The sequence below is a fragment of the Homo sapiens genome, chromosome 2, assembly GCF_000001405.40.
Source record: "Homo sapiens chromosome 2, GRCh38.p14 Primary Assembly".
NCBI classification, from domain to species: domain Eukaryota; kingdom Metazoa; phylum Chordata; class Mammalia; order Primates; family Hominidae; genus Homo; species Homo sapiens.
In genome coordinates, this window is record NC_000002.12 from 196,179,499 (window position 1) to 196,192,552 (window position 13,054).

Genomic DNA, 13,054 nt, shown 5'->3' on the forward strand with positions numbered 1-13,054 from the left:
AGTAGTCATAAGTCATAAGTCATGATGTTATGTATCCTTAATATAACATGATAAGTATGATACTTTGCCTGTGTAGTCTTCCTCCCAAAAACCCACAATCCCAGTGCAACCATCAGAAAATCATTAGGCAAATCCCAGTTGAGGAACATTCTATAAAATACCTGACCTATACTCCTCAAAACTGTCAAGGCCATCCAAAACAAGGGAAGTCTGAGAAATAATTACAGCCAAGAGAGACCTGAGGAGATGTGACGACTAAGTGTAGTGTGGTATGCTGGGTGGGAACCTGGAATAGAAAAATGATGCTAGGCAAAAACTAAGGAAATCTTTATTTAATAATAATGTATTAATATTGGTTTATCAGTTGTGACAAATGCACCCTTGCTAATGTAAGATCCTATAATAAAAAGGGAAATTGGTTGGGTATGAATCTAAAACTGCTCTAAAATAAAAGGCTTTGTTTAGAAAAATGAATGAGTCTGCCATTGCTTTAAATATTCAAATTTAGAGAATGTAGAACTAATAAAATAATCAAAATATAGCCCTTCTATTATTTTTGCAGTCTATTAAAAACACCATTGTACCAGTAATTTGATGCAGGTTCAATCCAATATCAACCTCCAATCAAAATTTCCAAGTCAGATAAAAGTATATGTAATAGGAATCCAGAAAGAGATCCAGAAAATTGTGTTTCAATATTATGTATATCATCTGATTTTAATCACAAAGTGAATCTTTCATCTAGCATGTTGCCTGCCTCTCCTTTAATTTCTAATATGGTAAGTATTGAGCATACTAACCATGTCCTATGGACTATACTTACTAGATTACCATATTTACCATTACTTATCTACGTAGATATAACCTGCATCAACCAAAACTCTTTGAGGTCCTGAGTAATATTTGAGTGTAGAAGTTTGAGAACCAAACAGCTTGAGAACCACTATTCTCATCATAGTGACCGATTTCAAGTCTTTCAAGACTGGGACATTTGTTACTCTATGGCCACCCTGTATCTTAACCCCATCAGTGTTTAGAGAATTCCTCACCTTTTGAGTCCATGACAGTGAAAGTGACAAATATACTCCTTGTAGCTTGGGAGGAACAATTACCTTAGGTTCTATCAACCAATCACACATATGCACTTGAACCTTTGAATCTGGAGCTAGTAAGTCTGGGCCATGAAGAATGCTGAGACGGAAGGAGCAATCAGGCCCTGGAAGCAGCAGGTCTAGTGGCATCTCCAGTGTCCACGGCACAAGCTGCAGTGTAGAATCCTGAGTTTGGGCAATAGTGTCGTCATCTTCCCCTGAACAATCCACAGACATGACTTTGGATGTTTTTCCTAGTTATCTTGTCCTAACTTTGGTTCTCCAGCCTGGATCTCCTTTCTATGAACTACTCAATATCCTTTAAATACATTGTTTTTCAGCTTCAGATATCCAGAGATGTTTAGTTGCTTGCAATTAAGAACTCTGACTGGTCCTATGAAAAACTGATTTCTTAGTTAGCTTCTGTGGTTATATATTTTGACCACTTTTATATTAATCAGCCTTTCTGAAATTCTACAAATAAACCATGGTTAACCAAAATAAAAAGAAAGCAAAATAAATGTACCCTTTGTTTTATCTGCCATAGAAAACGAACAACAGCCAGGCACGGTGGCTCATGCCTGTAATCCCAGCATTTTGGGAGGCTGAGGCAGGAGGATCACTTGAGGCCAGGAGTTTGAGACCAGCCTGGGCAACATGGTGAAACTGTCTCTACAAAAATAAATAAATAAATAAATAAATAAATAAATTAGGCAGGCATGGTGGCATGCGCCTGTAGTCCTAGCTACTCAGGAGGCTGAAGAAGGGGGACTGCTTGAGCTCTGGAGTTCAAAGTTGCAGTGAGCTATAATTGTGCCGTTGCACTCCAGCCTGGGCAACCCTGTTTAAAAAAAAAAAAAAAAAGAAAAAAAGAAAACAAACAACAACACAAATAAGTTAAAACATCTAGCTTTTTGAAAGATGAAAAAAAATGTTGGCCTTCTACTCTGGCTATACATTTTTACTTAGACTTTGGAATTGTGATCCAACTTTCAACAAGCAGAGTGTAAGATTTTCATTGTATTACTTCCCAGCTGTGCAATTTCTATAAAATGGGCAAGAGGCTCTGAAGAGAATGCCTGGTGACGCCATGCCATGTGCTTAGTTCATTATAAATCATTTCAAGTACCTCCAGCCTCGCTGAGCCAGTCAAAACAGAAATCTTCTAACGCATTTGAGAGAATCTTGTTTTATAGAGTGCTTAAGAGAGGCATGAAAAGCATACTAGATTTCAAATGTACCAAATTATCCAGAAAGGATTTTGGAACTGGTTCCTATTAGGTTACTTTTCATTATTATTTAATACGACATATAAAATATAACGCTTTTCTGTTTGAGCTGCTAGTGCCTGGAATGGTTCTGCCTTCTACAATTTCGCAAGCAAATTTTAACGCATTTCTATTCTAGTCTAGTTACTACCTTATTGCTAGACATCAAAAGTGAAAAGTGTGCAGGTCAGTTGGGCCCTTCAGATCTTTCCATTTCATGCTAACTCGAATTATTAGGGACTTAAATTAATTTTGACTAGAAAAAGCATCTTCTTCTACAGTTGAAATACTACCACAGATGAAGGATTCTTTGAAGCAGCGTCTTGAAATAATTTAGGGAAAACGTACAAGGTGAGCAACCCATTGCTATTTCCTCTCATCTCCAATTTCCACAGTTAACTTCTCAGCAGAAAGGCTTGTGTATAGTAGAAATCCACAGACAAGCATAAATTAGTACACCCCACCTTGAGAACAGGTTGAGAAATTTAAAAACTGGCACATGGAATGACCATTGTTAAGCTATTTCTTGCAAGCCTAAACTACAGATGCACCTTTTAAAATATGAGATGTTTGAGCACTTGACAGATGATTATCTTGGTCTACTTGAGAGAAGTTCCACAGGCATAAAATCAGTTGTCTTTATTTCTTCCTGTCTCTCACCCAGGCCTTTTTTTTTTCTTCCTGCTAAGAACAGGAAATTGCAGAAATAAAGATTTGATCAGTCGCCATTAATTCAGTAAGCTTTGTTTAGTTTAACCTAAGCTAACAGCACATTTATAATTTGCCCAAATAAATCACACAAATTATCAGAATAGGCTAGTTTTGTATATAATTATCTCTTAATCACCAGTCCTTGCGTTCTTCTTCTCATTAAGCCTGTCTCTGAGGAGGTTGTCCTTTCACAGTAAAAATAGGCAATACCTTTGAGACACTTTCTGTTACTCATTGACCTAGAAAAATCCCCTCTAGTAGCTCAGTCCTGAGTAGGTCTGAAAGCTTCTGGGTCAATCACACATGCTGAATGTGGCACAGGATATATTAATATTAATAACACTTGATGTCTGTACAGCATTTTAGTCAATATAGAGCTTTCACATGCAATGACTTATCTGAGCCTCAACAGTCTGGGGATTACTGTTAGCAAAGCTAGTGTTATCCCATTTTACAGATGAGAACAGAGGTCGTGAGAGTGACTTGTCCATCAGAGGTCAGGGTTCAGTCTAGGGCTGAAGACTGTGGGCTCTTTCGAGTGACCCCTAACAGAGAAGACTCTCCAGAGAGCACACTTACCTGAGACATGCTTTCTCTTTTCTCTCACCCCACCCCTTGCCTGAAGCATTATAGGAGCCCTATGACAGATCAGCTGCGAACAATGCAGAAGAAAGGGAAACATAATTTTTCTGGAGGACCCAAAGTCCAGATGGCAAGCCAGACCAAGCCCCACGGCTGTCTTACCTGCAGGTGTGTGCAGCACCAGAAGCCCCAAAACAGTGTTCACATCTCCCCATCTGGCCGGGCCACACTCACTCCCTGCTGTGGCCCAGATTGCCTGAGGAGGTTTCAGGTGGGGATTTAGGAAAATCAAGAATGATTTGCCACCTAAAGTAATAAGATTTAGCACAGAACTAAGAATTGCAAACCAAGAGCTAAGGTTAGAGGAAGATATTTAAGAGAAAGAAATGTACTTGCTGTTTTTAAAAGTTGACATTTCTGTAGTAAGAATGAAGAACTAAGAGTACAAATAATTAATTGTTTTTACAGTGAAATGACACAGAGGAATGTTCTAAGTAAAGCGGGGCAATACATTTATACGCAAGGTGCAATGTATCCGTCATTTTATTTAATTCTTGGAACACAACCTTGAATGGTTATTCTCACTTCTCAGATGAGGAAACCCAGGCTTACAGAGTTTGAGTGACTTACTTAAGGCCATATAGGGAGTGAGTGAAGACAAAATTTGAACTCAGATTACAAATCCCATTTCTTTTCAGGATACTGCACTACAATCCAAGTACAGCTTACCTGTTCTCACTTTTATTTTCCATTATGTCCCATCTCTGTAACTCATTATTCAAATAAGTTTATATTATTATAGTGGGAACCTACTTATCTGGTTATCTAACTTCTAAGGAACAGGAAGTAGGTCAAAACTCTTCTGAGAAACATAATAGATGTTACAACGTTCACATGTGAGAAGATTCTCCTTGGCAGCCATTCTGTCTTTCAAGTATACGCTGTAATTATTTTGGATGTTTATAGGACTGCAATGATAGGATACTGTGGGAGCTTTCCCTCTGATCTTCCAATGACTGGCTGCTCTTCCAACTTCAGTTCTCATCTTAAATGTTACATCCTCTGAGAGGCTTTCTCCATCCCTTGCTGCTCCCTGTTCTTTATAGCACTTTTTATAACCATTGGTAATTATGGACTTATTTGTTTATTGCCCATCTTCCCCATGACATTGTAAACTCCCCAAAGGCAGGAAACATGGCTGCTTTATTCAGCAGTGTTTCCTAGCACTTATGGTACCTGGCACAAAGTATGGTAAGTGTTCATGGGATGGATGAAAGAATGGACAAAGGGACATGCAGAAATATGTGGTTTTGTCGTCTGACCTAGGGAAGACTGGATTACGTTTTGAGCTAGGGTAGCTCAATCACCCTTTCCATATAAATAGCCTTGAGATTTGGTGGCCTCCCAAAGACAATAGACAGGAGCTATGAAGCCAGTCCACTGGGACAGGAGGAGGAAGGAAAGTAACATCTACTGAGCCCTTAACAAGTACAAAGCAATGAACTATTAGAAGTAATGGTGGCTGGGTGCGGTGGCTCAATGGTGGCTCATGCCTGTAATCCTAGCACTTTGGGAGGCCAAAGCAGGTGGATCATGAGGTCAGGAGTTCAGGACCTGCCTGGCCAAGATGGTGAAACCCCGTCTTCACTAAAAATACAAAAATTAGCCAGGTGCAGTGGCAGGTGCCTGTAATCCCAGCTACTCGGGAGGCTGAGGTAGGAGAATCACTTGAACCCCAGTGGCAGAGGTTGCAGTGAGCCAAGATTGTGCCACTGCACTTCAGCCTGGGTGATACAGTGAGACTCCGTCTCAAAAAAAAGTAATGGTAAAACCCACAATTACTCTTGCACCAACCTAATAGCTGTACATGGACTTATTTAACATAAAAAGCACTGCAGGAGAAAGAAAAACACCTATTTTACAAATGAAAAAAGTGAGACTTACACTGGTGAGGTTGCCCAACGTCACCCAACAAAGTGGCAGAACCAGGATATGAAGTGCAGAACCAGGATATGAAGTTAATCTGTCACTTTTTTTTTTTTTTAATAAAGCAAATTTGGCCAGGCACAGTGACTCACACCTGTAATCTCAGAACTTTGGGAGGCCAAGGTGGGAGGATCGCTTGAGCTCAGGAGTTCAAGACCAGATTGGGTAACATGGCAAAACCCCATCTCTACAAAAAATACAAAAATTAACTGGGCATGGAGGTGCACCTGTGGTCCCAGCTACTCAGGAGGCAGAGTTGAGAGGATCACTTGAGCCCAGGAGGTCAAGGCTACAGTGAGCCATGATCACACCACTGCGCTCCAGCATGGGTGACAGAGTGAGACCCTGTCTTAAAAAGAAGCAAATTTACTTTAAAATGTTTGTCTTTTTTTATTGACCCATAACTTACATACAAGAGGTGCTTATATTTTAAGTATGCAGTTGATAACAAATATGCATACACCCTTGTACCACCACCCAAATCAAGAAATAGTACACTTCTGGCCATGGAGAAGTCCTCCCCAATTCCAGTATCTCCATGGTAAGCACGGTTTTGACTTCTATGATCACCAGCTCCTGTTGCCTGTTTTTAAAGTTCACATGATGGAACCTTAACGGTGTGCCCTCTTTGCGTTAGGACTCTTTTTTTTTTTCTTTTTTGACAGATTCTCGCTGTGTCACCCAGGCTGGAGTGTAGTGGTGCTATCTCAGCTCACTGCAACCTCTGCCTCCTGGGTTCAAGCGATTCTCCTGCCTCAGCCTCCCAAGTAGCTGGGACTATAGAAGCCCGCCACCATGCCCAGCTTTTTTTTTTTATTTTTTATGTTTTTGTAGTTTTAGTAGAGATGGGGTTTCACTATGTTGGCCAGGCTGGTCTTGAACTCCTAACCTCATGATCCACCCGCCTTGGCCTCCCAAAGTGCCGGGATTACAGGCGTGAGTCACTGTGCTCGGCTGTGTTAGGACTCTTTTGTCTGTGGATTCATCTACGTTGTTGCTTGCAGCAGCAATTGATCTTTTTCATCGCCGAGTTATATTATCATGAATTACTATAATCACAATCTATTCTACTATTGACAGACATTTGCATTGTTTTCAGTTTTATTAATAAAGTGCTATGAAACAAATCCTGAACATTTGTTTTGGTGGACATAAGCACTCATTTCTGTTGGGTACACACTCGGAAACTGGAATTGCTAGTCATGGTGTGCATATATTTGGCTGTAATTGATGCTGCTAAACAGTTTATCAAAGTGGTTACATCAATTTACACTCCTACCAGTAATGCAGAGAATTCCCATTGCTCCATATCCTTGATAGGTGTTAACTATCATCAGTTCTTTTCATTTGAGTCACTCTGGTGAAGATAAGCGATGCTTTTATAAACTATGCATGGCACCTCTGAATGGGTTATAAGCCCTCAGAAGAGGAAAGATCAAGAGTTTGCTTCTGGCTCTTACATGAATCTGACTTGATACTACTCCCTGGTCTCAAGAAAATGAGGCTTACATTTCTGGCCACCTACTAGGTGAAGTGGAGCCTCCCCAAAGAATAGAAATAGACTAACAACTGGCTCACAAATGCAATTAACACAAATAGAGAAATGGGTCAGAGCCAAGGGCAAGACTTTCACCTCTTTGGTCAGAACCACAGAGACCTCCAACAGAGGGGTGAACAAAGCCTCGTCAAAGTCAGTCCACCTTTTGAACTGGACTATTAGAGCAGAACTAGTTTGAAGTTAGTGAGGAAGTGCCTGCCTCATGTAGAGGGTCAGACAACTGTCACTACAGTTATTGTATTTTGAGCACTTTGTGTGTGCTACACCTGGGGCTTTATGCTTTATAGAAGGTAATAGTTGGGACTGTTGGGTTGTAAATAACAGAATCCAACGTAATTTTTTAAATATTTATTTTTATTTTAAATTCCAGAGTACATGTGCAGGATGTGCAGGTTTGTTACATAGGTAGACATGTGGCATGGTGGTTTGCTATACCTGTCAATCCATCACCTAGGTATTAAGCCCAACATGCATTAGCTATTTTTCCTAATCCTCACCCTTCCCCCACCCTACCTCCTGACAGGTCCCAATGTGTGTTGTGCCTCTCCCTGTATCCATGTGTTCTCATTGTTCAGCTCCCACTTATAAGTGAGAACATGTGGTGTTTGTTTTTTTGTCCCTGCATTAGTTTGCTGAGGATAATGGCTTCCAGGTCCATCCATGTCCCTGTAAAGGACATGATCTCATTCCTTTTTATGGCTGCGTAGTATTCCATGGTGTATATGTACCACATTTTTCTTATCCAGTCTATCACTGATGGGCATTTGGGTTGATTCCATGTTTTTTGCTATTGTGAATAATGCTGCAATGAACATATGCATGCATTTATCTTTGTAATAGTATGATTCATACTCCTTTGGGTATATACCCAGCAATGGGATTGCTGGGTCAAATGGTATTTCTGGCTCTAGATCTTTGAGGAATTGCCACACCATCTTCCACAATGGTTGAACTAATTTACATTCCCACCAACAGTGTAAAAGCGTTACCATTTCTCCATAACTTTGCCAGCTTCTGTTGTTTCTTGACTTTTTAATAATTGCCATTCTGACTGGCATGAGATGGTATCTCATTGTAGTTTTGATTTGCATTTTTCTAATATTCAGTGATGTTGAGCTTTTTTTCTTATGTTTGTTGGCTGCATGAATGTCTTCTTTTGAGAAGTGTCTGTTCATGTCCTTTGCCTACATTTTAATGTTTTTTGTGGTTTTTTTTGTAAATTTGTTTAAGTTCCTTGTAGATTCTGGATATTAGACCCTTGTCAGATGGATAGATTGCAAAAATTTTCTCCAACTCTGGACCAACCTGATTATTAATAAAACTTAATTTACTTAAAGGACAGCTATTCTGAGATTCTCCTTCTCTTTATATAAATATGTTAAAATTTATTGCTTATTATGCAATAATGATGAGTGGATGATAATTGCTACTTGTTATTGGCAAATGTTCCTTTTAACTGTACGTGTAGTTTGTAACACTAGGCCATTCTCCTGTTCCCACCAATCAATATTTTTCTTTTGAAGCGTGGGGCTGAATTTTACTGCTACATGACAACCAGGTGAGAAAGTTACTGTTTCATACTGTTCTTTAACACATGTGCACTTTCATCTTGTATCCAAGAATAGCCCTCAGGTTCTTGTCAACAACATCCTCTCTATTCACATAGCCAAAGGTTAGGTGAGTTTGTGTATCTGATTTCTCAGCATATTACTAATTTAAGGCAGCAAAGTAGAGAATGAGGAGGGGCTACTTTAGTCAAAATGAAGCAAAAATGAAATTTTAGTGAACCAGAAAGGAGAATTAGAATGGTATTAACAGTAAAGCATAGTCTGGACCATTTAATTTAGGAATAAAACAGTTGAATATCTACCCAACTATTACAGCATAATATTGTTTGTTGTCTATAAGGGTGACCCTAAGTTATCAACAAATACATTTTCTCTAGTGTGTCCTATTTAAGATCATAGAAATTTGTATATCTTTTAAAAGATCCCCATAAGAAGAGTTAAAATGTTTAGGTTTTTCACACTTAGAGAGTTATAATAAGCTGTAAAAGTCTTTTATGTGGAATAATTTAGTTCTTGGGAATGGAAGATAACTGAAGGTATTACTCTAAGAAGTAAAAAGATAAATAGATGTATTATCAATTACTTGACAAACAGTGTCATGTGTGGCTTGAATGATGAATTTAGTTGACTACTTAGTGTGAAACTGCTTCTTTAGATTTCTGCACACCCATCTGTGTAATGAGTTAGCTACTCCAGAACCTTTCTAGGCATGGCACCATAGTAGCTGGTTTCCAAATCTCTGGCACTTTATTCACTTTATTAGGTGGAATCTGTCACTGAAATATTTCTCTGTAACCAATAATTCTCTTTTCTTCTTCTTTTTTTTTTTTTTTTTAAAAAAAAACTCCATTTACTTTTAATGCAAAATATCAGATTTACTATCTATAACACAATTATATTGCTTAGGATGAAAACATTGCTTACCTATCAAGCAAAGATTCTTCTCATTGCGTGGGAGGCGAGAATTCTGCCACTGAACCAGCAGTGCTTCCTCATATTCTTCTCATTGCTTGGTGTTTTTGCAGTTGTCTGTGCTCATTGTTATAGTTGCTATTTGGTTGCAGTTAAAGATTGGCCTCTTGTTACCCTATGAGTAAAGAACCATTAATGAATTGATCTGGGGGGCTGTGTTACATATTCTGCTTTTAGGGCTAATTTTAAAATTAGCTATTAAATTTTAAATACTTTAATTTTAAAAAATTGTTTTAGATTTATAGAAAAATTGAGAAAATAGTAGAGTTTCCATATACCTCACACTAGTTTCCCTTGCCAACATCTTACATTAGTATGGCACAATAGCTATAATTAAGAAATCAACACATTTTTATTAACTAAAGTCCATACATTATTCAAATTTCTTTTGTATTTACCCAATGTTGTCTTTCTGTTCTAGGATCCTATCCAGGACACCACATTCCACTTAGTCATCATATCTCATTAGGCTCCTCTTGGTTGTGATCATTTTTCAGACTTTTCTTGGTTTTGATGGCTTTGACAGCTTTGAAGAGCACTGGTTAGCTATTTTGTAGAGTGTCCCTCTATTAGAGATTGTCTGATTATTTTCTCATGGTTACATTGGGATTATGTATTTGGGAAGAAAGACCACAGAGATAAAGTGTCATTTTTATCCCATCATATCAAAGGCACACACTATTCACGTGATTTATAACTGTTGATGTTGAACTTGAGCATCTGGCTGAGGTAGTGTTTCTCCGGCTTCTTCACCGTAACTTTTCTCCCCTTTCCTCCTTCCTTTGCTGTACTCTTTGGAAAGAAGTCAGTATGGGTAGCCCCCACTTAAGAGTGGAGTATCTACATAAATTGTTTGGAATTCTTCTGCCCAGATTTGTCTCTTCATTTATTAATTATTCAATCAATTATTTATCAGTATGAACTTAGTTATATAAAATAACTTTGTGTTATAATCAGATACTACTTTATTTTGTTGTCCAAACTGTTCCAGCTTTGGCCACTGGAGCTCTTTTAGTTAGCTCCTGCATCCCTTTGACAGACTCTCATGGTGTTTTTTGGTTTTATTTTTAAAACTCACTTCAGTTTCTAGCACTACAAGATGCTCTAGGCTTATCTTGTATATTTCCTAGAAGCAGTCATTTCTCCAAGGAGTAGGGCTAATTTTGAAATATTATTTTATGTCTTAAGTAAAAAAGACTTAGCTAAGGACAGGTGCAAAGTCAGTTAGAATACATTTGCTAACGTGCACTCATACAACCATTACCACACCTAAACTCCGTGGCAGGATGAAAAAGATAGGTACATACACTCCAGCCACCACATTATTGGTATTCCTGCTTGGTTCTAAGTTTCAGGCAGCCTGTTATCTTCATTCCTCCTTAAACATTATTATGAGTGACATAACAGACAGGCTAATTGCAGATGAGAGAAAAACAAACCCAAACATTTTCGCTCCAAATTATCAGTACTATGGTGTGAGAAGAGACTCTGATGATATATACATTGCTTTTCAAACCAGTGATACACACACCTCAGGGTACAAAGCAGCAAGTCAAGGAAGAGGCAAAATCAAAGTAGTATCTTAGTGTATCATCCAATGTCTTTAATACTTAGGGTTACTTAATAATAACAAGTGGCTATTAAAGCTAAAGGGGAAAAATTATATTTTTAAATTGAAACCCAGTTTGACATATGAACAATTTAAATTTACTTAAAAATAAATGAAACACGAATAATTTTGTATTGGTAGAGCTAGCTGCATGTTCATATTTGAAGGGTCCTTTATTATTATTGGTGATTTGATACAAAGTTGAAGAAATGCTGATATGGAGTAATAGTAAATTAGCACTAATTGGTTAATAGCTCTTTAGTTAACAGTTAAAAATGGCTTGTTTTGTTCTGGAAAGCCAACCATTCAAGGCTAGAATTGGCCCCTAAGGGAAATGCATGGCTCCTCTTCATTCTCCCTCCCTTCCTCCCAGAGAAGCACTGTTCTAGTTAGGACAGGCTCAAGAATCCAGAGTTGTGTTCTTCTTGGGGATTTGATCACTTCAGATTTCTCTTGAATTTCCAGGCCATGAGGCTGGAGTGTAGGGAAGTTGCCCATCCTTATGCAAGTATGACCATCTCATCTGGGAGCCCTCCCATTTTTCTGGACCTATCAGAAGGACCTGGACTCTTTTCATTCAGGGTTCCTCTGCCCCAAGAAGACCTGAAGTGGGCAATCTGGACCAGCGCTGCTTTAAGTATTAGAAAATATATTATCCTACTTCTCTTTATATGCCGGCTTTCTCTTTCTGGAATTTGCCTTCCCTTGAAATAAGATGTAGAAGGTCAAGCTGTGAATGTGGGTTTAGGAAAAAACAAGCAACCTCTTGGCCTCTTTTGGGCCTTGGTCCATTGAACTGCTGTAACAGAATACCAGAGACTTGGTAGTTTATAAACAACAAAAATTTATCTCTTACAGTTCTGCAGTTCAAGATCAAGGCTCTGGCAGATTTGGAGCCTGTTAAGGGCTGGCTTCCTGGTTCATAGATTGCTGTCTTTTCACTGTGTTTTCACATGGCAGAAGGAATCTATGGGGTTTCTTTTATAAGGGCACTAATCCCATTCATGATAGTTCCACCTTTAGGATCTAGTCACCTCTCGAAGGCCCCATCTCTAAACACTATCACATTGGAAATTAGGTTTTAACATATAGATTTTGAGAGGACACAAACATGCATTTTTAAAGCATTCAGTCTTCTTAGACCTGACTCTACTTATACTCAAAAGATGTCATTCATATGGTTGAATTCAATTCTAAAGAGATTAATTTGGATGTTGGGACAAAAGCCTCATAGTAATAAAAAGTAGGTCTTTACTTGGCCATGAAATCAGGAATTTAATTTGGGGGCAGGAGCAGGGAGAGGGATGTGTTGATGAGGTTCAAGAATTTGGACTTGGGGTCCATTTTCCATGCCAAATGAATACCAACCTAGATATGAATTCTTATACTAGCCAAGGGGTGGTATTCTGTGTAGCAAGGGTGGTATTTAATCACATTATAAATTGTCAGAAAATATATATTGTTCCAATAATTTACACTTTTCTAGCTTTTCTTTTCTTTCTTTCTTTTTGTTTTTTTTGAGATGGAGTTTTGCTCTTTGTTGCCCAGGCTGGAGTGCAATGGTGCCATCTCGGCTCACTGCAACCTGCGCCTCCCCAGTTCAAGTGATTCTCCTGCCTCAGCCTCCCCAGTAGCTGGGATTACGGGCGCCGGCCAACACACTCAGTCAATTTTTGTATTTTTAGTAGAGATGGGGTTTCACTATGTTG

At 38.7% G+C, this 13,054-nt stretch overlaps 1 annotated feature.

Moving 5' to 3' along the window:
- Positions 7,196-7,245: an enhancer, noted in NCBI's record as "active region_16898". NCBI's record gives its function as "activates an Ori minimal core promoter by ATAC-STARR-seq in GM12878 lymphoblastoid cells {active_cell/tissue: GM12878}" and the evidence as "EXISTENCE:reporter gene assay evidence [ECO:0000049][PMID:35858748]".